This window comes from Homo sapiens, chromosome 9 (genome assembly GCF_000001405.40).
Source record: "Homo sapiens chromosome 9, GRCh38.p14 Primary Assembly".
Taxonomy (NCBI): domain Eukaryota; kingdom Metazoa; phylum Chordata; class Mammalia; order Primates; family Hominidae; genus Homo; species Homo sapiens.
Window position 1 is genome coordinate 82,525,149 of NC_000009.12, and position 27,564 is coordinate 82,552,712.

Below are 27,564 nucleotides of genomic sequence, written 5' to 3' on the forward strand. Positions count from 1 at the left end.
ATCAATCTAATGGGTTTAAGTTTAGTTGTTTTGTTCAGTTAGGCAGAACTGTTTATGTTTTCAGAAATGAGGTCTTAGACCTATGGTTCTGTGCTTTAGGCATTTCCGGGTGATTGGATATTGTGGTGGGTGCTGTGGAGGCCTACCCAGATCACCCCCTTCCTTTGAGACTGAGGCATTCGTTTTAACAGTTTCCAGGTTGCCTGCTGACAGCTCACAGGGGAATTGCCCTTTGCGGAAAGGAGCTCCCTGAGCAGCCTCACCCAAGGTTATGCTTCCTCTCTGGAAACAGCCCATGTTCAAAGACTGGCCATTGTGGAGGCACAAAAGCCTTTCTGCCTTGTCCCAGGAGATCTATGAAGGGCTTCAGAACACTCCTTGGTATTGGTTGAGGTCTCAGTTGTGACTCTATGACAGTTCATCTCCCTGTGCCCAATCCTTATTCCCTCACAGGTGTCGTTCCTGAAAGCATGCATTTCCCACATTCAAATCTCCATCAATGAGAGTGTTTCCCAGGGAACCTGAACTAGGAGAGTTAATGTGAGGATTGGTCTATGGAGGCAGACTCTAAAATGAAACTTGGGAGATGGGTCACTTCCTAGCTATCAATGAGAACTCATAGTCATAGGCGGAGTCCTGGAAGCCGTGGCATGCAGTAGTGGTGCAAATATTACAGCTTTCTCTAGTGGTAAACTGAGATGGAGCATGGGTATAAGGAAATGCACAGTGGACTCGATATCTCAGGCATTTGAGAAGTTCAAAGGCAATAGTAATGAAAAAGGACAATGGAATTGGATGGCTCTTGCTGGGTGCAACGTATGCAGTGGAGAAAGACGATGAAAGACTGAGGTGATTAACCACCAATTTAAGGCAAAAGTCTGAAAATTTAGAGGACCTCCAGGGCAACATTTAAAAACCCTCTCCTGGTGCTGGAGAGTGGAAAAGATAAAGATCGTTCCTAGTATTTATTATAAGAGTAACAGAACTCCAGAGAATTTTGAATTCCAGGACCAGCAATGTTTCTGGGGAGATCCCATAAAGGTGAGGACCCTGGTAGAAAGAAGTGGAACCCTGAGGCTTTGGATGAGACATTTGGGTCAATGCATTTAAAAATCTTGCAAGCCCAGTACCCCTGAACCCCCTAGGCCTGCAAAAGTAGCCTACTCCTCCCTATTAAGGTCTGACATTCCCACTTCAAGACCTGCCTCCACTTTCTCTCCTGACCACCAGACATTGAGTCTTGGTAAGAAACAAAAACACATGAATACCACAGTGTGGGAGATATTCCATATAAATATAAGAGTCCCCCCCATCAGTGAAGTTTTGGGAGCTATGAAGTTGTCAAAGGCATGGTGGAAATTTCCCTTTATTATAAAGGATAAATTATTACATCTTAAATTTCCTGCTACTAATAAGAAAGTGCCATCCCTGGTAAGCCTTCTCTGGTTCTGGAGGCAGAGTGCTTTTTACATTTAGCAATATGGCTTTGATTCATATACTGGGTGACATAAAAAGCTGCCAGTTTTGAGTAGGGTCCAGAGCAGGGAAGGCTTTGCAGCAGTCCATGCTGTGGTGCAAGCAGCCCTGCTTCTTAAGCCAGAGGACTTGGCAAATCCTAGGGAATTGGAAATATTTATGGTGGAAAAAGAAGCTGTGTGGAGTTTATGACAAATCTCAGTGGGAAAATCATAACATAGACAGCTAGAGTTCTGGCACGAGGCCATGCCATATGCAGCAGAGAATTATACATAATTCAAAAAAACAGCTCTTGATGTAAAATAGGACTCTCATAAAAATGGAGCATCTAACCACAGGATGTCAAATGAAAAAGTGGCTAAAATTGTTGATCATGAGCTGGGTTTTATCAGACCCACAAATTCATAGTATTAGGAATGTCCAGCAGCAATCCTTTGTAAACCAATATTGGTATGTCTGGTGCTGGGTAGGAACAGGGCTGGAGAGCACAAGTAAGCCACGTAAAGAGGTGGACCATAATTCCATGTAATTGACCAGTTTTGTTATGACTGCCTGTCAGCTCACACCTGTGACCACATTTGGAGACGAATTCTTACATTTAGTTGGTGGAGGAGAAAAGTGGTCAAGCTTGGTTCTTAAATGGTGGGTGGGCAGGCTGATGCATGATAGTCCCACTCAGAGGTGGCTCTGAAAGACAATGATGAGAAAATCATCATTCTCTCTCCCACTGAGCAAAGCTTTGGGAGATTGACTGGATTATCCAATTGGTATTTACTACTTAATCAATTTCTACTTTATTATTATTTCTTTATGCTTGCTTACTTTTGGTTTAATTGCTCATCTTTTCTAGTTTCTTGAGAGGGAAGCTTACATCATTGATTTGAGAACTCTTTGTTTTCTAATATAAGCATTTAATGCTATGAATGTCCCTTTAAGTGCTGATTTAGCTGCATCCTACAAATTTTGGTATATTATGGTTTTTATTTTCATTCCCTTCAGAGTCCTTTTAAATTTCCCTTTTGATTTCTTTTTTAATCCATGACTGACTTAGAAGTATGTTAGTTAGTTTCCACATATTTTGGGTTTTTTCAGAGGTTTCTCTGGTAGTGATTTCTAGGTTAACTTCACTGTAAACAGATAATATACATAGCATTATTTCAAATTTCTTCAATTTATTGAGGCATGTCTCTTTGATGAATGTTCTATATGTATTCTGTTGTTAATGGAATGTTCAATAAATAGTGATTAGGTCAAGTTGTTTTAGAGTTTTTCAAGTGTTCTAAACTGATTTTATGTCTCCTTATTCTATCAGTTATAAAGAAATATTGAAATAGCAAAGTATAATTGTGAATTTGTCTATATCACCTTTAAATTCTCAGATTTTGCTTCATGTATTTTTTTAAATTTTATCTTAAGTTCTAGGATACATGTGCTGAACGTGCAGTTTTGTTACATAGGTATACATGTGCCATGGTGGTTTGCTCCACCTGTCAACCCATCATCTAGGTTTTAATCCCCGCATGCATTAGGTATTTGTCCTAATGCTCTCCCTCTCCTTTTCCCCCACTTCCTGACAGGTCCCAGTGTATGATGTTCCCCTCCGTGTCCATGTGTTCTCATTGTTCAACTCCCACTTATGAGTGAGAACATGCAGTGTCTGGTTTTCTGTTCCTGTGTTAGTTTGCTGAGGATGATGGTTTCCAGCTTCATCCAGGTCCCTGCAAAGGACATGAACTCATTCTTTTTTATGGCTGCACAGTATTCCAGGGTGTATATGTGCCATATTTTCTTTATCCAATCTATCTAATTAAAGAGCTTCTGCTCAGCAAAAGAAACTATCATCAGAGTGAACAGGCAACCTACAGAATGGGAGAAAATATTTGCAATCTATCCATCTGACAAAGGTCTAATATTCAGAATCTACAGGGAGCTTAAACAAATTTACAAGAAAAAAACAACCCCACCAAAAAGTGGGCAAAGTTTATGAACAGACAGTTCTCAAAAGAAGACATTTATGTGGCCAAGAAACATATGAATAAAATCTCATCATCACTGGTCATTAAAGAAATGCAAATCAAAACCACAATGAAATACAATCTCATGCCACTTAGAATGACAATCATTAAAAAGTCTGGAAACAACAGATGCTGGTGAGAATGTGGAGAAATGGAAATGCTTTTACACTGTTGGTAGGAGTGTAAATTAGTTCAACCATTGTGGAAAACAGTGTGGCGATTCCTCAAGGATCTAGAACCAGAAATACCATTTGACCCAGCAATCCCACTACTGGGTATATTACTCAAAGGATTATAAATCATTCTACTATAAAGAGGCATGCACATGTATGTTTATTGCAGCACTATTTACAATAGCAAAGACTTGGAACCAACCCAAATGTTTCATGTAGTTTGAAAATTTTTAATTCCTCTTGATAAATTTATCCTTTTGTAATTATGCAATATTCTTCTTATATCTTATACTATTCCTTTCCCTGTAGTCTACCTTGTCTGATGTTATTATAGCCACTCCAAATTTCTTTTGATTACTATTAACATGGAATATCTTTTACTATTCTTTTATTTTGAACTTACTTATGTCATCATATGTCTTCTAATGCAGGAGGTAGTTGGGTCTTGCTTTTTATCCAATCTGACAGTTTTTGACTACTAACTGAAATTTTAAAAATTTAAAATTTAATTTAATTATGGATATGGTTTGACATAAAGCTACAGTCTTGGTATTTGTGCTCTATTCTCAACTGTTCTTTCATTTTATCTACTTTTCTAACTTATTTAAATTAGTTGAAATTTTTCTTTAATTATTCAATTTTATCTCCCCTCTTAGCTTATTAGTTATATCTCTTTGGGTTTTATTGTTTTTGTTATTTTTTCATTTGTTTTATTTTTAGCATGGATTGTTCTAGGGTTTAAAATATGTCTCTTTAATTTATGATGGCCTACCTGAAGACCACTTCACATATAATATCAGAAACCCAAAAACGTAGTTTCATCAACTACCCCATCGTTTGTGTTATTTTGGTTATACATTTTTTACATATTTTAAATTCAAAAATTTATTATTATTTTGGCTTTAAACAGGTATTATCTTTTAAAAATATTAAAAGTAAGAAAAATGGCCGGGTGTGGTGGCTCATTCCTGTAATCCCAGCACTTTGGGAGGTTGAGGTGAGTGGATCACCTGAGGTCAGGAGTTTGAGACCAGCCTGGCCAATATGGTGAAACCCCATCTCTACTAAAAAATACAAAAATAAGCTGGGTGTGGTCGCACATGCCTGTTGTTCCAGCTACTTGGGAGGCTGAGGCAGGAGAGTCACTTGAACCCGGGAGGCAGAGGTTGCAATGAGCCAAGATCACACCACTGCACTCCGGCCTGGGTGACAGAGTGAGACTCCATCTAAAAAAACAAGGCTGGGAGCTGTGGCTCATGCATGTAATCTCAGCACTTTGGGAGGCTGAGGTGGGTGGATCACCTGAGGTCAGGAGTTCAGGACCAGCCCGGCCAACATGGTGAAACCCCATCTCTACTAAAAATACAAAATTAGCTGGGTGTGGTGGCGTGCACCTGTAATCCCAGCTATTCGAGAGGCTGAGACAGGAGAATCACTTGAAGCCAGGAGGCAGATATTGCAGTGAGCCAAGATCGTGCCATTGCACTCCAGCCTGGGCAAAAAGAGCAAAACTTTGTCCAAAAAAACAAAAAGAAAGACAAATATCTCTAACACTTACCCAGTTGTTACCATTTTGGCATTCTTCATTCCTTTATGGTGTGGTGTCAGTTTCTTTGTGGTGTCAGTTTCTTCTGCCTAAAGAACTATCATTAACATTTTTTGTAGTGTAGACATAATGGTGATGAATTCTTTCAGATGTGTCTTAAGAAAATATTTGATTTGTTTTTAAAGTAATCAAAAATGTTTTACTCAGTAAAAATATCTTCAAACTTGAGGGCATTGCCACTGCTTAAGTTAATGCTTGTAGTTGGCAATATGTACACAAATTATTTGGAATTCTTCTGTACATGGGATTTATCTATTCTACCTAATTTATTTAGTAAACCATGTGTTTATATCAGTATAGATTTGTGGATATTTAATTTATGCTTTGGGTTAGAGTCTAAAACTACATTACTCATGTTATTACTCAAATCATTCTAGCTCTGAGCTTTTGGAGCCCTTTCAGGGTGATTCCTATGTTCCTTTGTCATAGACCCATAATTTTATTTTTAAAAATAGTTATGATGGTTCTCAGCATGATTTTTTAATTATATATTCTTCTTGGGGTCCATTGAGATTCTTGGGTCTGTGGGTATATTAGTTTTCCTAGGGCCACTATAACAAATTGCCACAATCTATGTGGCTTAAAATGACAAATATTTATTCTCTCACACTTATAGAACACAGAAGTCTGAAATCAAGATTTTGGCAGGGCCATGCTCCCTCTGAAGGGTCTAGGGAAGACTCCTTCCTTGTCTCTTCTTGGTTCTGGTGGTTGCTAGTAATTTTTAGTGTTCCTTGGCTTGTAGATACCTTACTCCAATATCTGTTTATGTCTTCACATGACCTCTTCACATATTTCTGTGCACAAATTTTCCTGTTTTTACAAGGACACAAGTCACTAGATTAGGGTACATCTTAGTTTAGCATTAACTCTTCTTAACTTGATTACATCTACAAAAACCCTATTTCGAGCTAAGGTCACTGTCACAGGTTCTGGATGGACATGAATTTGGTGTGTGTGTTTCTTGAGTTTGGGAGGGAGACACACTATTCAACCCAGTACAGGAAATTTTATAGTTTTCACCAAATTTGGAAAATGTTAGTGATTTATTTTATTTTATTAGTGTCTTTTTCTGCACATTACCCTTCTAGGACACCAATTACACAAATGTTAGACTATTTGATATTCTCTCAGGACATGGATACTCTGATCTTTATTTTTATTTTTTCTCTCTGCACTTTATTTATTTTTATATTTTTAAGTTCATTGATTATTTATTTTACAGTGTCAAATCTACTTTTAATATCATCTAAAAAAATCTACCATTTCTTTTCTCTTGATTCTTATATATTCATCTATTTTCTTAAACACATTGGATATACTTAGCCTGGCTGTCTCAATGTCTCTGTCTCCTAATTTTATCAGCTCTGATCTTTTAAAATCTGCTTTTATTAATTTTTTCTTGGTTTTGGATAAATTTTCCTACTTTGCAAAACTAATTATACTTGATTGGATACCAAGCATTGTGAAATTTTTATTGCTGTTTGCTGAATTTGGTTGTTTTTCTTTAAATCATGTTGGATTTTGTTCTGGCATAAAGTCAAGTTAGTTGGGATTAGTTGCATTCTTTCAAGTCTTTGTTTTGAACTTTGTTAGGGCAGGTCAGAGCAGCTTTTGGTTTAGAGTCAATGTAGCCCCAGTACTAAGGCAATATTCTTTTGAAGACTGTTTGATGCCTATATATGATAAGGCCTTTCATTATGACTAAAGTGACACAAACTATTCCCCACTGTGTGAACTTCCTAAGTTTTTTCTCAAACTACTTATCACCCAACATTTTTGTATTTCTTATCCTTGACTTTTTGTCTTTAGCAATTATTACTATCTCATAAATGACATACTTATCTAAACTTTATTGTTTTTCCCCACAGAAACTCTGTAAGGGGAGATAATTTTGTCTGTGTTATTTATTCATTGCTCTATAACTAGATCCCAGAATAAAGCTCGACTCATTATAGACACTTGATAAATATTTTCTGTATAAATGAATTATTGAATAAATTATGTCACAATTAGATCTTTCTTATTTGTCATTTCCTCAAATGTCTACTATCTAATTGAATACATTATCAATGAAAAATAATGGTAATAATATTGTCTGTGGGGCTTATTTTAAGCATGATTATCCCTTCTCAAAACTTTTGGTTTGCATCCTCGTATGTTGTAGATTGTACACTACACAAAACTATGTGATGACATGTATGTTTGTGGTCATCTTAGATTAATGTATTCATTCTACTAATTTTCCAACAGATGGCAGTAAATGTCTTGGGGACTAATATACCAATGCTTAATAGTGGCAGGGCTGTCACCAGTGAGGAAACATTTATATTTTATAAGGCCTTCAATCTTCTTTTTTCATATTGGTGGGTTTCTGCATATTTAAAAAATTGTTATCTCTTATTCTTGGTTCCTTGAGTAAGCACTTGGCTGAAGAAACGCTGAACCAGGGTGAAGAATGTCCATTGGTACTTTTGCTTTTTGATGCAGTGGCTGGAAAAAAAAAAACACTTGATTATAGTGATTCAGTAACAGAAGAGCTCCAGGCTACTAAAGGGCAGTATTTCTCAAAGACTGGTGGCATATGCTCACTATCTTCTTCACTGTGCCTCCTCCTCTGCAGGGATGCTTTGCACTGACAGTGCTTGGAAATTATGAACATTGGTTGAATCAGTGCACCATGAGCCTGGGACAGAGTTTAGTTCCTCTGGTTGGGGGATGTTTAGTAAAAAGGCCATGGACTTGGAAGCCAGAAAAACCTAGTTTTAAATTGTGGGTATAACATCTACCAGCTGAGTAAAAGTCCCAGTCAATTTATTCATTGTCTCCAAGGCTCAGTTTCTTCATCTGATAGATGAAGATAAGTGCCTCACAGAATTGTTAAGACATCTAAATGAAGTAACATAGAGAATACAAAGTTCTGGTAGATGCAAAATAAATACTATTTCCCATTCACATTTCAATGTAAGTATACATAATTTAAGTCAGCCATCAAAAATTCTATAAAGTCACGGAAGTATAGTTCAAAAAACTGGCCCCATATTTTTAGTCCAACTCAACATCTGTGGTGCTTTAATTTCTTTTTATATTGTGTAATTACTCTCTCATAGGTGAGGCCCATATCTTTCTTTTGAGATGGAGTCTCGCTCTGTACCCCAGGCTGGAGTGCAGTGGTGCAATCTCAACTCACTGCAACCTCCACATCCTCTCACGTAGCTGGGATTATAGGCATCCGCCACCACGCCTGGCTAATTTTTCTGTTTTTATTTTAGTAGAGACAGGTTTTCACCATGTTGGCCAGGCTAGTCTTGAACTCCTGACCTCAAGTGATTTGCCTGCCTCGGCCTCCAAAAGTGCTGGAATTGCAGATGTGAGCCACTGCACCCGGGGCTTTAATTTCTTCTACAGCATTCACATCAACTTGTCAACCAGTCTCATGTTAAGCATTCCAGTAACAGGGATCCCTACACATATTTGCATGAAGTTATTAGGATCCATTTGAGTGGATCTCTTTACCACGTAGAACATTTGTACTCCCTTAGCTTTCCAATGTGACATAATATTAGGCCTTGTCACCATGATGGTGGACCTCTCCACTATGTTTTTGGGCTTCCATCATCATTTCTGTATTTGCACTGCTATCTTGTTATTAGCTTACTGTCCAGAAGCCCCCTTTTTCTTTACTTGCATGCCAGCTTAGTACCATCCCATTCTACAGACATACTTCTTCTGTTCCCTGATCTGTATTCCTTTTCATTCCCTTGACTTCTGAGATATCAGTATTGCCACATTTATAAATGTTTGCATTTTGACAATATTCAATTTCTTACATAAGGGTTGAGTTATCAAAGAATTTTAGGGACAGTCAGTAAGGGAGGACCTACCATAAGGATACTTCTTGGCAGCTACATCTTGACATGGACCTCTATCGGTTCCATTTTAATAACCCGTCCCTGGCTAATAACTGTTTCCATGGGTATGTCCGTGTGCTTGTGTTGGGGCATGAGCAGACAAGAGGGAGGCAGAGATGTGCACTAAGGAAAGAGTATTAGGCACCATGATTACTTCTGATTAAAGAGGAGATTTTAAATAGGTCTGTCTCAGGATGTTACTAAAACAGGAAGCCAATGAATATACCTTTATCCTAAAAGCCTATAAACAGGCATTAGCATTAATATAACTTCCTAACTTGATCTAGTGATTGTCATCAAAATTCCTTCTAAGGATCAAACTAATATAATATGGGTTAAATAGCATTGACCTTTAATACATTTTAATCCGATTGAGTTCCCTCATTCTCACTTTTGACTTTATATTTTTAAATGACATTAAAGGTGTATATACGTAATAGTATTAAATGTTTTTTTTAAAAAAATCAAAGGACAGCTATAATAAAATGGTGCCAGAAGTTAAGAATGAAAAGGAAAAGGTACTTGATATCTTAAAAGCAAGTGGCAATACACGACAAAGGGATGCAGAGGTTACAGTAGTCTGCATCTTTAAAAACAAGTTAGGCTATGAATGGACAGCACAGACTGAAAGAGTCAGTTGCGGTGACCGTGTGCATTCACATTGATTTACCCACCTAAACACAGGCTTTAGAAGGTGGAGTTGACTGATGCTCAGGTGCTGTCTACACTGGGTCCAAATCCGATGACGAGGATCTACATTCCGCTGTATGCAAGGCTGATCACGACTTAGCTTTTTGCTCTGTTTCAGCAGATTTTCATCCCAGACCTCCAAGCATCTTGGAAACATTGCTTCATTCATCTCTATAACATCCTATTTGGGGACTTAAGTTACAAATATTATGGGCCCTGTAATTCAGCTTTCTCAAGCTAAATACAGAGAGGTTAAATAGGTCAGAAATTGGTAATAGAGATCAAGTTTGTACTGGAAGGGACTCAGCAATACTTCCCAGGATACCTCAGCAGTGTCACTCCAAAATGCTTTCAGGGATTTCTGTATGTTATTCCCCAGGGAAGTGAATTCAAAAGCACTAAAAAGAAGCTTCTATGAGGCAATTGTACAGACCAGGTTCTTTCTCTTGAGGACAGATACTATGCTGTTACTTTAGATCCTTTTCTTACATTTTCAAAGGGGCAGAATTAATGACTGAATTAGTCTAACACTGGATATGCCTCACATTTAAAGTCACAGACACCACCTTTTTCTACAGAAACCCAGAGTGCAGAAATGCTTCTTGAAGACGTTTATTACAAAGCAAGAAAACTCTTGGGCTTTCTAAAGCCACAAGCTAGATTTAGTTTCTTTTCCTTTAAAGAGGAAACTTGAGAGGCAACATTAAGAATACCTTCACAATCAGTCCTTTCTGTGGACAAGTGGGCTTGAGAAACTTCAAAATGTTGTCCTCGTTTTGTGGTTATCTTCATTTCCAAGTAATTTCTAGAGCTTGGTATGAAGGGGTTTGAGACATTTTTGTGGTTTCTCACACTTTAACTTTCATACTAACTGGCAGTTCAATAGGTTCATAAGAAGGGAAGGGAAGGGAATGGAAAGGAAATTTGGAATTGTGTAGTTACTCTCTCATAGGTGAGGCCCATATCTCTGATTGTGGCCACATTTTCTTCACAGGATAGTAGTATATTAAAGTTTTTTAAATCTGTTTTCACAGGTGAAAAGACGGAAGAGAAGATTAGAAATTAGCCTAAGATTTCTGATCTACTAATTTACAATGTAGGTGACACTGTGTTCCAAGTGTTTTGGCTTTTGGTGTAAGCCAAATTTGAGATGTATCTTTACAGCCACAAGTTTTCTGGATAATACATAGATAATCATAAGCCTCTTTCCAAATATGGAAAACATTTTATTCTCTGAGCCACTCAAAAATATATATTCTCTTCGAACACATTGCTACCTTGAATGTTCATAACATTATACATATAAAAAATTAACAATAACAAGTACATTAATATTTATTAAGCAACTTACTGCCTCACTGTACAAAGTATATACGTAGCTATGTATATGTACACACACGTATACATACACACATATACACATAGAATCTTTTTAAATAATTCTAACAACTCTCTGATGTAATTACTGTTATTCTCATTTTATCTACAAGAAAAAGGAGAGTCTATGAAACTCATGATCTTATATACAGCATAATACAATAATGACAGAATTGCCTGACATCAAAGCATGAGGTTGAATTTAAAACAAAAAGAAAAACAGATGCAAGTTGTTATCTGTACTCCTCCATATGATTAATCTGGAGAGAGAAAAGTACTAGGGAAGAAAAATCATTATTTATTGTATTGTCAGAATAATCTGTATGGTGGGCTAGAGCCATTAGACTGAATTTTACAATGAAGACACTGAGCTTCACAAGATTGCAAATTGTTGACTGTGAATTGTTTAATATAAATCAGGTATTAAATAGCAGAGTCAGGACTGTGTGAATCTACTCACAATGGGCTTTTCTTTATTGCTTAAAATCCACCCAAAGACAAAACCTTGTCATTCTCACCATAGTCACTAAAATCAGGGTGGAATTTTAGGCCACAGTCACTAAAATCAGGGTAGAATGGCACAGGACTGTGGCATTTTTACCTCAACAGAAAGATGGTATAAAACTATCAACTTTGGGCCGGGTGTGGTGTCTCACACCTGTAATCCCAGCACTTTGGGAGGCCGAGGTGGGTGGATTACCTGAGGTCAGGAGTTCGAGACCAGCCTGGCCAACATGGTGAAACCCTGTCTTTACTAAAAATACAAAAAATTAGTCAGGCATGGTGGCAGGTGCCTGTAATCGTAGCTACTAGGGAAGCTGAGGCAGGAGAATCACTTGAACCGGGGAGGTAGAGGTTGCAGTGAGCCAAGATTGCACTACTGCATTCCAGCCTGGACAACAAGAGTGAAACTCCGTCTCAAAAAAAAAAAAAAAAAGTTTGATGTATGTAAGTTGTGTAAACAAATATCCGTGGAAAACTAAGCAATAGAATAATAGTTGATGAGTCAGAAGTGTCAAACATGTAAATAGCAACATTTACTTTGTACAGAGTTCTAGAAACATTTTCTACATCTTCAGTCCTCAGGGCTTTGGAAATTTGGGGTTTAAATGACTTCTTGAGCCATAATGTGACTACTGTATTCCTCCAGGTTCCATTATAAATTTGGCGTGAGTTTCACATGGCTCTGGAAACTCTACACTCCCTAGATAGGCTAGTTTTCTCCCCTGAGTCCTCTCACCTGTAGATGGACCAGTAGAGCTCCTGGCAATCTCTGTCTGTATTAGGTAAGTAGGCAGGTGAGTAGGTAAGTAGATAGATAGATAGATAGATAGATAGATAGATAGATAGATAGATAGATAGATAATGAGTAGGTAAGTAGATAGATAGATAGATAGATGATAGAGAGATTGATGACACTTCTGGATGTGTGATAGTGAGTTGCTATGACATTGGCTTTTCTACCCCAATAGACTTAACAGCTAATGCATTTTCTCACTTTGAACACTGGTTTTCTCACAGCAGGCCTTCCATAGCAAGAAGGTTTCAGAAATCCCAGTTCACCTCTGTTTGGATTATCTACATTTCACCTGGCTCCTCCACTCAAGTGCATTTTTAGGCCAAGATCCCAGCAGTGTTATTCTTTTAATTTTATATGCACACAGAGCTGAAACATTTGAACTGCAAGCATGGGACTGTATACTATTCAATTAGATGTTGGCAACATAAACACTCACAGACACTAACTGGCACAGACCAACTACCATTCTCTTAAAGTAATGAATATACTCTAATGGTGTGGCCAATGGTAGAGCAATTTGGGAGCCTCAGGAACTATAGAAGCAGTGGAAATTATAGTCCACAGCATGACAAGAAGTCCTTTAGAAAGGACTTTTGCAATTAGCTTATTTCAGAAGAAATGCCAATTGGATTAATCTGCAAAATCTTGGCAGTATATTGATACCAATCACCTTTTGTCACTATTTGCTTACGTCTCTCTTTCCTTAGATATACGGGACCAGAGAAAAATATTGCTTCTTACAGGAATCAGTACATATTTGCACTAAAGAAAGCACAGGGCAATGAGTCTTTCTTCCCTCTTTTCCTCTTGTACCTTGTACGATTTTAAATTTCAACTTATTTTTTCCCATATAAAGTTTCTAATTAAATATTCTAGATCTATGTTTGGCTGTAAGATTTCTTTGTTTGGGGGCTCACAGCTACCCACCAAAATTTTAATCTATAGGTATTATTATTTGCAAATTTCTAGTAGTCGTTTTTATAGTCTACAACTATGGGTGTTATTGTTCCCTATCCATCTTATAATTTCAACTAAATCAAGCAATGAAAATTTTATAGTGCATCCCTAATTGTGCACCAGACTGGAACTGTTCATACAAATTCCAAGCAATTATAAGGCTTTCTGGGAAACATTGGCAGCAAACACTGGATTAAATGTTTATAACAGCAAGCCAGATGGGAAACAGAGATAAGGAAAATCTCATGGAAACCTATTTTTTTTTCCCCAAACCACAACACTATTTTAAATTAACCTGGCCAAGAGGAAGCACTTTCACATTGTTGATCAGTAAAGAGTTTTTGGTAAGTAATAACATTTAAATTGTGGGAATAATTTTACAAAGACATAATTCTTTGTATCATCTGTGACCCATGTTACCAATAGATAGCAGATAGATGGAGTTGATGAATGAAATTCTAAGGATATATTATAAAACGCAATTTTAAAAAGTAGATGTTTTAAAGCTAAAAATGTTGCTTATACGTTGAAGTTGGGGAAAAACACATGGAAATATTTAGCTGTACTTGTTTCCCATGGAGACTATGGTGCACATATAGTCAACTTATGCTAAAAATTCTTTTACTGCTTGGGAACTCAGGGGGAAGGCAGCCATTTTTGTAAATAAACTCTGTCTCTTAATGGAATTGGGCAATAAGTGCCTCTCACCCACTTGAGCTCATGCTCGCTTCCTCTAATGTGATTTAAATGGTCTGAAAGTTACAGAGGTAGATTTATAAAGAAGCTAATAATACTGAAGTTGCATGTCCCATCATTTGTATGGGCTCTATCCCTGGAAGGATTCCTAACATGCTCATACATATCATTTTAATTTATTGGGGGAATATATTTTAACTGTAATTGGTTAAGTCTGCTGTCTCTTTTCACTCTCATTTTCCCCTATCACACTTCCCCCTTGATGGATGGTATTGGAGTGGCCATGAGCATTTTTGGGTTACGGCTAAGTGGAAGTTAAACTTAAGAGACAGTTGTTGGGTTCGTGTGAGATGCAGTCAACTCCATGTATATATTGAGTCAACCCCCATATATTCATATGAGATATAGTCAACTCTATGTATAGATTTTCATACCATGCCAAGTATTTTTATGCCATACCAAAAACAAAAATTCACTAAGTTGATAAGATGCATTTTGAATAGAAGGAATGATCAGGCCCTGGGATTGTTGTGAATCCAATAATGAAGATAAATAAATCATATGAATGCTTTTGGGAAAATAGTTAAATTATTTGCTCTATCAATTACCTTTTGCTGTGTAGCAAACTTCCCCTAAAATTAATGGTTTACCCTATACCCTATGGACCAAATCTGGCCTGTAGCCCATATTTTTATGTTCCACAAGCTAAGAATAGGTTTTATATTTTTAAAGAGAAGTAGGAGAAAAAAGAGGAAGAGGAGGAGAAGTTAGAGGAGGAGAAAGAGATGAAGGAGAAGGAAAAGAAATGTAACAGAGGCAGCAGAAAACCTAATATAAAAACCTAACATTTATTATCTGGTCCTTTAGAGAAAATGTTTGCCAACTGCTGGCTTAAAACAACAATTTATTTAGCTCACTATTCAACACTTGGTGATTTGGCTGGGCAACTCTTCTTCTGATCTTGGGCAATCAAACTCACATGTCTGCAGTCAGCTGGGGTTGGGAAAGCGGGCGTCATCTGAAGGCTGGTGACTGGAATATCCTCCTTTACAAGTTTGGCAGTTGGCTGGTCATCAACTAGCATGACACAATGACTAGGCCACAGTCTCTCATTATTTGGAAAACAGGTCAGGACTTATTCTCATGATGGCAATTGCACTGTTTCCAATGACAGCAAGCAGGGGCAAGTCCCAAATCCAAGTGCTTTTTAGGGCTCAGCTTAAATCATGTTTGGTAATATTTTATGAAAGTAAGTTCCCATGGCTAAGTTATTGTGGAAGGATTCTACTAAAAGGCATGGATTTTTTAAAATGTAGCCATTCTTATAATCCAGCATACATGTTGGTTTCCCATGAAATAATGACAACAGAGATAATATAAAACTAATAATATGCCATTACTATGAGGACACCGATGACAAACTCTTAAGTGACAAGTATTTAATATTAGTTACACACAAAGAAATGTAAAATTCCCTAAAATCTTTCTGTTCACATACGAAAAATATTTGAAGAATGTTTTCCTAAATTGACAGTAATTCTGAAATGTTACGTGGAATTGCAAATAAAAAGTTGTGAATTTGAATGAATCTTTGCTAAATTATCAATAATGAAAAACATGACTTAGCATGACTAATTATGCTAAAAGAAACTCAATTATTTCTATTTTTATTGAAAAAATATAAAATCATTGTTATATTATGGGTAATGAAAGCATATACGGCAAAAAAATGTAGGAGAGAAGAGGTGTGTGTAGTTCATTGGCATTTTTTCAAGTGTTTTTTTTCTGAATTTTGCAAGGTGGTGCAATTTTTAGCTTTTTAAAGTTTGTGATTTACTTATTCTAAAACGTATTTATTTTTATAGCTAGTTTTAGATACATACTTGTGCATTATTTTCCTTATATAGAGCCTCCAAAATTTCCTAATTTCAGACCCCTTGAAACCTGAATCCACCAAGGGAAGGACCAATAAATATTCCTGCTCCAGAAACCTAGGCCTGGTCAGGAAAATAGCTGGTGCCAGGAGAAAAGAAAGAAAAGAGTTGCAGCTTCTTGTGTGGGTTTGATGTGATGGTATTTGGAATTTGGCATCTTCTTCTCAGCTCCAAGTTTGATTTAAAAGCTGTTAGCAATCTTTTCTTTTCACAATCATATAAGATGCAATTTATCAGCTCTAGAGTGATCAAAAGTCCATAGTGTTTGAAGACTGCTAAGCTGATATCTTGAATACCTGCTCACCTTGGTTACCTCTCATTCCTTCATCCCTGGCAATTTCCCCCATCCCTCAAAAGGCTGTTTAGAAGATACAGAACACATGGACATAAATATGGGAAAAATAGACACTGTGGACTACTAAAGGATGGAGGGAAGGGAGGGTAGGTTAAAAAACTACCTATCAGGTACTGTGTTCACTACCAGGGTGACAAGATCCATACTGCAAACCTCAGCATCACACAATATTCCCATGTAATAAATATGTACATGTACCCTCTATATCTAAAATAAAAGATTTGTTTTAAGAAGAGATAGAGAAGAGTTCCATTTGACAAGTGGAGTAAAAATAACACCAAGTGATCAAGTAATTTGCTCATGGTCACGTAGTATATGGGAAAGCTAGGATGGCAAACAATGTGTGTCTACTGACAAGAACCATTCTTTTCCCATCATCTCCCCCAGTCTTTATTCTTCCAAGGCATAGTGACTGCCTCTCTAGGTTGATAAGAAATATATCCAACTTTATTATACACTCATTATTAGCCATTGAATGCCTACTATATGCAAAACCTTAAGTTAAGTGCCAGAAATCCTGGAGAAACAGAGAGAATTGTAAAATAAAATGGAACAATATTGTAGGGTAGTACATGCTAAGTATCTAATATGTGCTACATAATTCTTCATATGTGAAGATTCAGGTAGGTGGCTTTGAAGGGAGTATGGAACCTATAAAGTGAAGAGGTATTGGTGGAGGAAACTCAGAAAAGGAGGAGGGATGATGAGCCGTGCCTGGTTTTATTCAGGGATATGGCTTTATTTGATATATTACCTATATTACTTCCCACAAAGCATTCAAAAGGACACTTGGAAATCATCTAGTACAAATCTCTACCATTTACAGCAGAGATATATGATTTCCCCCACCTCTGCCAACCTAACTCACTCGCCCAGGGTCACCCATCTAACCACTGAGCCAGGGTTTTCAGTCATGTTTTCTCAGCACACTCTTGGCTAAACTATTAATACTAGGACCAACCACGATACTATTATCTGAAGCCAATGGCTGTTCTTTAATGCCATCCCTAGATTAATTCAGACCTTAAAGTTACTTCTTGTGTTTACTATGCTGTGGCTGATATTTTTCAGATTTTAATCCAGGGTTGAAAACGCTAATCCTTATTCTTCGTTTCTGTTTTGTTGTTTGTTTTCATTACCCCTTTGTATTGTTGAGGCATCTTAGAGATAGTAATTGCACATAGAAAATAACTCTTTTAATAATGAATTGAATTCTTCCCATTCTAAAAACAGTTTGAGGTCACACATCATCAAGGAAGCCAGAAGATAAGACCTTTTATATTTCGCTCTTGATACAAGCAAATGAATTAAATGTGTTCTATCTTGTTTATAAGTGTTTAGCATATGTCAGAAGTTTCACGTGCATTTGATAATAGGAATCATGGAATCGCCAGCCAGTGCCTCAACACTGTCCTTCGAGCTGCTAGTTATTATCTTTATACGTCAAATGACTAGGTTTTGAAACTGGGTGGATAAAAATGAAGTTGAAATGAGCTATTTCCAAGTGGCTCAAAGAACAGCTCTCAATGCAACTAGAAATAATTAGTATTAGTAGATTAAACATGTATAGCAATGTACTTTTTTTGCCTTTAAAAATTATCTCAAAAAATATTTTAATAATTCAGTAAAAGTAGATAGAATAATTATGATTACCATTTTATAGTTGAAGAAATTAAGGTAAAGAAACATCAATGATTAGCTCACGGTTAAAGACCGTGTTAAGGGCAGAACTGGGATGAAGCCCCAGATGCTGACCTGGGTCCCATGATTCTTCCCCTCCCTCTATGACCCATCTTTTCTAAACTGTGTATCACCATCCCAACACCCTCTTCCACACCTACTTCAAATAAAAAGAATTCATATCCCTAGTTTCCAAAACTGCTGTTCAGTATTTTTATTTTGTTATTCAATGAGTGGCCCAGTTCCTTTATAATAACTACACAGTGACAACAATGTTCACTTACTTCTACATAAAACAGATTTTGTGAGTAAATAATAAAAAGCTGTGAGAAATCTTTAAATCAACCTAAAAATTTCCTGGAGACTTGAGGGACAAAATGGACAAGAGTTGTACCACAATTCCTGCAAACATTTTATTTGATCATGAAATCTATACACTTGGCATCAAAGAGCAGATTCCTGTGGATTCAAGACACAGCCCATAATTGTAATGATTAAAAATCTGTCCAAAAAGTAAAACCTAAATATCAATCTATTATATTTATGAGTTTCTTGGTTAACATGTCCAGAGGCTAATGCCACCATGGTGACTCAGAGGTACCACACAGTAATTTATTTTACCTTACATTCTTAGATAAAACAGCACAACTATACTTATTAAAAGCACTACATCACTTTAACCTCAGTTACCTCTCACACCCACTTTGCCCAAGGTCATTATGTCATCTGACCTGAGTCCAGGGCTTCTAAGAAGAAAGCCCACAGCAAGGGAGGCAATCTGGAATGACTGTGTAAGTAGGCCTTAATGGCTGTTCTTTGGCCTAATTTACAAAGTCTTCTTCCTACACTTGAGAATTCAGATGTTTCAGACACAAAATTAAAATGATGTCTTAACCAAATCATAGATGCAAGTCCTCAAATGCCATGTAATTGTGCCATCACCCCTAGGAGAAGTTCTGATTAAAACGAGTCACATTGACCTTGGATGACATGGCCTAAGGGGCAATTATTCCTCAAGGGACTTAATTAAATGCAATTAGACCAGTGAGAGTACATTTAACGAGTCCCCTTGTGGTACCTATGTTTCCAATTTATTTTTCCAGCAACTTTCACTAATGATTTGATTCGCTCAACATCCATCAATGGATAATGATAGGGTGCTCACTACTATAAGGTGATGATGGGATACTTAGGTCCCGTGATTCAGGAATTAGAGAGAAAATACAGACACGTGACAAGTTAAATAGGCATATGAGAAGGAATATGTTTATGGGCCAAGTGAACAGTAGAAAGGATGGGCAAAATACAGTCAGGAAAGAGTCACTCAATGTGGGTGAAAGCAGACACAGGTGGCTTCAGTAATAACTTGGAGGTCTTGAAGGATACAGATGAGGGTAGAATCATGGACTTCTAAGCTGGAAAAAATTTAGAAACCATCTTGCCTGGCTGGGTGCAGTGGCTCATGCCTGTAATCCCAGCAATTTGGGAGGCCAAGGCAGGCAGATCACTTGGAGTCAGGAGTTTGAGACAAGTCTGGCCAAAATGGTGAAACCCTGTCTCTACTAAAAATACAAAAATTAGCCAGGCTTAGTGGAGCATGCCTATAATCCCAGCTGCTCTGGAGGCTGAGGTAGGAGAATCGCCTGAACCTGGGAGTTGGAGGTTGCAGTGAGTTGAGATAGCACCACTGCACTCCAGCCTGGGCAACAGAGCAAGACACCATCTAAAAAAAAAAAAATCTTGTCTCATAACTTCATTTTACATTGAGTACTCTGGAGCTCTTAATGGGCTATCTAACTTACTCAAAACCATGCTGCCAGTGGCATGAAGTATTTTAGGAAAGGAGAACAGTATGAAAAAGCTGAGTGGTACATATGCATGAAGTATGTTATGGGGATGGCATGTTGACCAGTTGAATAAGGTAGATAGTATGAGTAAATATTGGTTAGAAAAATAGGTTTGGGCTTATTTCTAAAATGCTATGTGTAGAGTTTGCAATTTATTTTGCCAACAAAAAAGAATATAGACATATACTTGAATTGTGGGTTCTTACAATCAAAGTAGTATTTCCCAGAAGATTAACCTGGTAATTATGTCTCAGATGTATGGGAAATAGTAGGGACTGCACAAAGCTAGACTAGACCAATATTAATTATAACGGGAGGCCAGGCGCGTTAGCTCACGCCTGTAATCCCAGCAATTTGGGAGGCCAAGGTGGGCAGATCACCTGAGATCAGGAGTTTAAGACCAGCCTGGCCAACATGGTGAAACCTGTCTCTACTAAAAAATACAAAAATTAGCTGGGTGTGGTGGTGTGCACCTGTAATCCCAGCTACTTGGGAGGCTGAGGCAGGAGAATGGCTTGAACAAGGGAGGCAAAGGTTGCATTCAGCCGGGATCTCATCGCTGGAGGCAGAGGTTACAGTGAACCGAGATCGGTCACTTCATTCCAGACTGGGCGACAGAGCGAGACTCCATCTCAAGAATAAAAATAAAATTATAACAGGAGTCTTCCATGAAAACAATGATCTCTACAGATATTATGAGAAGCCAAGAGTGTTGTACAAGTGATTCTGGACAAAGAAGAACAATATTGAATATGATTCCTAGGTTTCAAATAAGGATTTCGGGGGGGCATCAGGCAGTGGTGGTTGTCAGAGTTGAGAGCCAGAATTGATAGCAGGAAGGTCAAGGAGACACTGAGAGGAAAAGGCAAGATCCAAGACCAGAGGGTTCTGGGACGGCTCAGGAGCTCACAGTCAGGAATGATTAAGGGTCCAGATAAACAGTCTGGAACTGAGGTGAGCCTAGTCATTGCAGATCAGGGCAAGGCTTTGGGATGGAACCAGCAGAGAGCCATGGGCCAAGAGGGCTCAGACACCAAAGGAAAAGGTACAGATCATGGTTAAGACAGGGAGTTTGGAATGGACTCTAAGATCTTAATTCAAACCTGCAGCCTAAGTAGCAGCAAACAAGAAGTGTCTGGTGAGCAGGGAAGGCTGGAATTCAATTAAGAGAGCACCAACAGATGTGGATGATCAGCATTAAGGAGCCATTGATACTGCCAGCTGGAGATCCTTACAAAGGCAGATGAAGCCTTTTCTTAGGGAGTGTGCAAATCTGGAGGAGCACCAAGAAAAAAAAAAAAGAAAACAAAAGTGGAAATTTAACATTAATAGATATAGAAGTATTTATCACTGGAAAAGCAATGCTATAGGATTCCTTACATAATGGGTTTTTTTTTTTTTAACTGGTTAGTACTGTTTTTATTTTTAACTATATGGTGGGATTGGGAAAATGTGTATGGAAGCAGAACGTGAAGTTGTCAGTGAGGCTAAACGTACTTATCTGATTCTGTTGAATATTGAGTGGTATGGTCTGAAACTATCTCCCAAAATTCATGTGTTAGGAACTTCATCCCCAGTAGTAGTGTTGTGGGGAGGTACTTTTGGTGGTGTTTGGGTCATGAGGGCTGTGCCCTCATAAATGGATTATGCTGTTATAAAAAGGGCTTGCAGGAGTGGGTTTGCTCTCTTCTGCTCCTCTGCCATGTGATGATGCAACAAGAAGGCCTTCGCCAGATGCTAGCATACTGACCTTGGACTTCCCATCTCCAGAACTCTGAGAGAATAAAGTTCTGTTCTTTGTTATTACCCAGTCTCAGATATTTTTGTTATAGCAGCCCAAAACAGACTAAGACATTGAGGAAGCCTTTACCCCAATGAGAAAGTTGCTTAGATGTTTTCTTCTATATTAGTAAGGTACTAACTTATCTCAGAATTGCAGGTAGAAGTAGGGTTTTGTACACTCCTGCTTACAGAGAGCTGGGCATGCAGAGAATTCACCCAGATCTAAAGACAGTAATTTAGTTCTTGAAAAAAAAAATGGAGGGTGTCAATATCCGAAGCTTCAGCTGGTTTCCAAGAGGGATGGTGAGTTTGTGTTTTGTGGCAGTGATGTGGAACTCACAGCAGGACATTGAAGGAATTTTTTATTGGCCAGCTGAACAGGGATACTAGCAGGAAATGCACATATTTGGAGTCATACACAGAACTGATAGTTGAAGGTGGGTAGGGGAGGCATTGTTGCTTTTTAGCAATAGTTACATCAACTGTTGTTTACATGAAATTGTTTCTATTTCCTCCATTTTGAAGGTGCAAACTCATTTCATACTAACTGGAGCATAAATGACTTTGGTAGACTCTGGCCACAGCTGGGCTGGATGGTAATTAGAGGGGCAGCTGTCTAGGTTTGTGAATTGCAAACACATCTGGAGATGTGACATGGATTTAAAAAGCAGCCTTCTACAAGGGGCCAGCAGGCCAGAGTCTAGCGTCTGGCTTGTCATCAGAAACCACGGGGCATATGCTTAATAAAGCACAGTTTATAGTTCCATCAGTCACTTAAGTTAAGACTGGTTCATGTCGGCTTTTGAAAGAGCAGGGAAGATGTAGCTGAAAAGAGTCTCTTTCGAGGTTTTAATTATTTTCTGGTTGCTATATAGTATACTTATCTTGGCCTTTCACCTGGCATTCTGGAATGTCTACCCCTATTTCAGCCTAAACTACAGAACCAAAATGAAAATTTATATAAAGTCAAACCAAACAAAAATTCTGTGGTGAAAACAACTTTGAATGAAAAATACATTGCTTTATAAATAATCTGAATTTAGAATACAGTGGCCAAATACTTCGGGTATTCATTTTTCCACTGAGCCAGCTTTAGTGCCATTAACCATGGGTGAACAATGGGGTAGGTATGGCACCATAAATGCAGACACAGGTCTGGGTTCATTGGCTTTGTGATAGCAAAGATGAGTGTGTCCCATGCCAGCCCTGTTGAAATACATCCAATTTTGGAATGACAATTTAATATAAGCAGCCAAACATGGACTTAGTCCAACCTCAAATGTCCTACTAAAACTGTGTGATGGCTCATAAAGATAGCTCTGTCTCCAGGAATTTTATGGACTGAAGCAGTGTGTTGAAGTGACAGATAGCACCCCCAATCCCTCTATTGAGATCTGGATCTGTGTTGTTTTGGACCACTATGTACCAGAGAGAAATGTCCAGCAGAGGGGAATTAGATATGAAGTCTGTATTCGTCTCATTCTGATTCTGTACCTATGATTCGTTAATTTTGTAATCTTCAAAATGGAAAAATAGTTCTAAATATAACCAATTGAAAGAATATTGTGGTGCTCATTGTCTTGAGGAGGCATTTTCCACTGTGGCATTAATGTTCCTTTTGTAACAATTCATGATCCCTGACATGTTTATTGGTTGTTTTTTGTTTTTATTTTCAGAATGTACTGCCATAAACACATACTTTCTGAACATCTGGTATTTTAAATAATTCAGATAATGAGAATTATGACACACTGGTTTCTCCTTTTTGTGTTAGTTGCCAGGAAGCTCAGAGCTAAACACCGTGCTGAATTCCTTATCCCGAGTATTAAGTACAGTGATCTCCTGTGTTCTTAATCTGCATCCTCCTTTTTAAAAAAAATACTATAAGAATACGTTGGCAAGTTTTTAAGCTGTTCAATATTGGGGGGGGTGCTTTCCATGGAGGTATAAAATTAAAGAAAAGCAAGAAATATGATGAGCTCTTCATTACTCATGCTTTACCTGTTCATCAGGACTCCAGCTCTTTGTCCCACCACAGTCTGGCTCATTGAGTAACATTAATGTACAATGTATTGTCTCACTGCCGAGCTTTCCACAGGATCTTGTTCCTATTTATTATACCCCAACTCTGAACTGGTCAGACCTATTGCCTCTTTTGTCCTAGAGCTTATGGCTTGGGGTGGTGGGTGACTCCCATGTTATTGTGTCCTCATGACAAAGCTAAGAGTGAGACAGGATACCCTCAGAGGACATGAGTGGGATACCTAAACCAGACAGGGTCAAGGATGAGAAGGAAACAGACCAGGCTTCCCAAAGGAAATGACCAAAGCAACTAGAAGGGGTGATAAGGAGAGACTGATGCAAGTGCAGGGAGCAACAAGAGGCAAGAAGCACGTGGCCCACTTGAGGAGTGTTGTGCTTATCCAGCAGAGCAAGAATGACCATTGACATTTGGTATAATGTCAAGACCGATAACAACATACATGCACCAAGAGGGTATGAAAAGGTTTATTACTCACCTGCCATGGCTTCCTGAGGAGAGTAGGGCAGGCTCCCAAGGAAGACCAAAAAATGGCTTAAAAGAGCAGGGAACAGAGAGTGGTTTGGCTTTTTTGTGGTTGTGAGGTGGGGCCAGATTAAGGGTTCTGTGCAAGTTCCCACTAGCACCAAACGAGGGAGCACCTGCCCTTTTTTTCAGCCTGCCCAGATATGGGATAGAAAGGGAAATGGGAGTGTTGGGGCTTGAAATCTGTCCTCAGTCAAACTTAAATTATGGAGTCAGATTCCTTATTACAAGTAGTTAAATAAATTCAATCAATAATAGATATAGGGGATCAAGACAAGAGGAAGGAAAACACTTTAGTGATAAGGGTGAACCAGAACTAAAGCAATGGTGATAACAGATGGTTCAGAGCTTTAAGAGATATTCTGGAGGTAAACTGGTAAGAGACAATGAGTTATTGAATAATAAGTTGTGAGAGGAGAGATGGAAGAGAGAGAAATTGAAAATGGGGCCCAGATATTTGGTTAGAACAAGTAGCTGAAAGATAATGTCATTTACTGATGTAGGGAATATAGGAGGAGAAACAGGTCTAGAGGACAAATGATTATTTCCATTTTGGCATGTTAATTTTGAGTTATTTATGGGATAATCAAATGGAAAACTCCTACAAAGAAGATCTAGAAGTTATCCATATATCAGATAATTAAAATCTTCAAAGAGAGCTTTTAATAGATAGGAATTAAAACCATGGAAGATACCCAGGAAAAGAGAGTATGGGGTGGGAAAATGTCTATGACTGAGAATTGAGGAGCTTTAACATTCACAGGGAAACTATAGGTATAGGAGACCCCAAAGGAATTTGAGAAAATATGGCCAAAGAAAGAGGCTCAAAAGGGCACAGGATCAGGAAGTCAAGGGAAGTGAGCATTTCAAAAAGTAGAAGCTGGTCAACCATTGCAAATGCTCCCAAGAATTCATGTAAGATAATACTAAAAAGTATCTACTTGATGGAGCACCTAAGATTTAATTGTTGAGTTCAGACAATGGCTATTTTAATTGATCAATAGAGGCAGAAGCTATACTTCAGTGAGTTTAATAGCAAAATGGATGTTGAAGAAGTAAAGACATCAAGTATGGACAGCTTTTTCAAAAAGTACAGCTGGGAAAGCAATCATGAAAAAAGTATTTTTCATAAAATAGGAACGACTTGAACATTTCAACAGTTGATGGACAGGATAGGATATGTTGGTCAAAGCATATTAAAAGAAAAGAAGTTGATGGCTAGAAGCCAGTGGAAAAAGAAAGCTTGAGATAAAGAAAAAAAAGGTGTAACTGAGATCCCAGAGAAGATGGAAGGTAATGAAATTCATATCATATGTCAAAGGATGTACTATAGGAAGAGTAGACACCCTTCTTCCATTTGCTTCAGAAGAAAAGAAGAGTATGGGAAATGTGTGATCTTAATGGCAGGAATGTGAGAATTTTCATCCAGTGGTTTCTGTTTTCTTACTGAAGTAGGAGGCAAAAGGTAAAATCACATCCTAAGAGTGAGGAAGAAAATTGAAGGACTGAGGATATACAAATAGGGAGGGTTGTTTGAGAGAGATAGAAGATTTGAGGAAGGAAAGTTGGAAACAGTTGCTAGAAAGATCCAAAGATAGAGAACACATTAGGAAATAGAAGATTGCCAGGTGCATTGAGGGTGCATTTAAGATCGTGACTTTTAATCCCAGCTACTCGGGAGGCTGATGTGGGAGGATTGCTTGAACCCGGGAGGCGGAGGTTGCAGTGAGTCAAGATTGCACCACTGCACTCCAGCCTGGGTGAATGAGCAAAACTCCATCTCAAAAAAAAAAAGTTCAAGACTTTTTAGAGGCATCAACAGGACTCCATTATGCAGGCATAGACACAGAGGAAATGATGGAGAGATGGATGACTGAGTGTGGGGGTTTTATTAGGCTGGCGTGTTAGAAAAATCACAGGTGAAAAACGAATTTGAAGACGTAAGTGAGGCATGCAGTCTCATCTGGATGGAAAAAGCAGTGAAGTCTGAGTGAGGCTGGTAGAGGGGTTCATTGCATTCCAAGTCTCAATGGGGTCAAAGAGAAAATCTAGAGTGACTCACTGAGAGAACTGAAAGATAAGACTTGGTGGAGGCAGCACGCACATTTACCCTGGGTAGGGGAGCAGTTCCAGATGATGACCCAGTGCAGTGTGTATCCCAGGGAACAGATGGCTGAGGTGAAGTAGAAGTAGACATCTCTGGAGGAGGAGTCCTGGGTGTCAGGGGAGATACCCACGCAGGTGCTGAAATTGCTTAGGAGGATTTTAAGACATGAGGCATGATGGAAGACTATGAACCTTGTGTTAGGCTCTAATGAACTGACAGCAGAATAGAATGCATCTCACAGAAGCAGGGTTTTCAAAAAATGCTGGAGGAATGATATTATGCAAAACTGGTTGAACAGCAGCCCCACCTCTTTGCCCCATGCTGGGAACACAGGCAGCTTCTCCTAGAGAAGATATCAGTAACTCACTGTCCTGAAGAAAGAGCCTCTAGGGAGACATGCAAGAAGTTGAGGATTTAGACAAAAAGAGATGCCATAAGTTGCCCAAAGTCACCAAACAAGGCACTATCAGGATTTTGCTCATATCCCTTTTTATGCAAGGTTCCAACATTTACTATAACCTGCAACTGTTCTACTGCAAGTAACTGCAATTATCTGCCAAGTGCTTTCTGTGACTGCAGGAATGTTCTCCCCACCCCCACCCTGCCCACACCTCACTCAGGGAAAATAGAATGGGTGGGGAGACTTATGGCCCTAGGATCAGCCCTTAACCAATGATGAAAGGAGATGGTGGGTACACGCCCCAAACTTCCATTGTCCCCAGATAGGAAAACTCTGAATTATATTCCATACAGTTTCCCACAGTCCCCAGAGGAACTGGGGACTGCATGCAGTGGTAACCTGCTCATTAATTTACCCTGCATTGGTCTCCTTCCCTTGCTGGTCTCATCTCTACTCTCTTAGCTTCATGGGACTGCGGTTGCCAGATAAAGGATACTCAAGTAAATTTGTAAATTCGAATTTCATATAAACAACAAGGTTTTGTGTGTGTGTGTGTGTGTATACCACAAGTTACCACAAATACTGCATGGAGTATAACACACTAAAAAATTGTTTATCTGAAATTCAAGTGTAGCTTAACTCCTGCATTTTTATTTGCCAAATCTGGCAATCCTATCTAGGATTGCTTTCCA

General features: G+C 38.3%; 2 long non-coding RNA genes across 3 annotated transcripts in view; one reads left to right on the forward strand and one right to left on the reverse strand.

Moving 5' to 3' along the window:
- The window catches only part of LOC107987087 (uncharacterized), a 288,244-nt gene that overhangs the window by 33,197 nt on the left and 227,483 nt on the right, over positions 1-27,564 (forward strand). The window lies entirely within an intron of this gene.
- LOC105376110 (uncharacterized) overlaps positions 3,808-27,564 on the reverse strand; it is a 72,772-nt gene continuing 49,015 nt past the window's right edge. For both annotated transcript variants that reach the window (XR_001746780.2, XR_001746779.2), the window contains exons 4-5: positions 9,856-10,063; positions 3,808-7,763 (exon numbers count right to left, since the gene is read on the reverse strand). This is a non-coding gene — a long non-coding RNA (uncharacterized LOC105376110). The remainder of the gene's footprint in view (positions 7,764-9,855; positions 10,064-27,564) is intronic.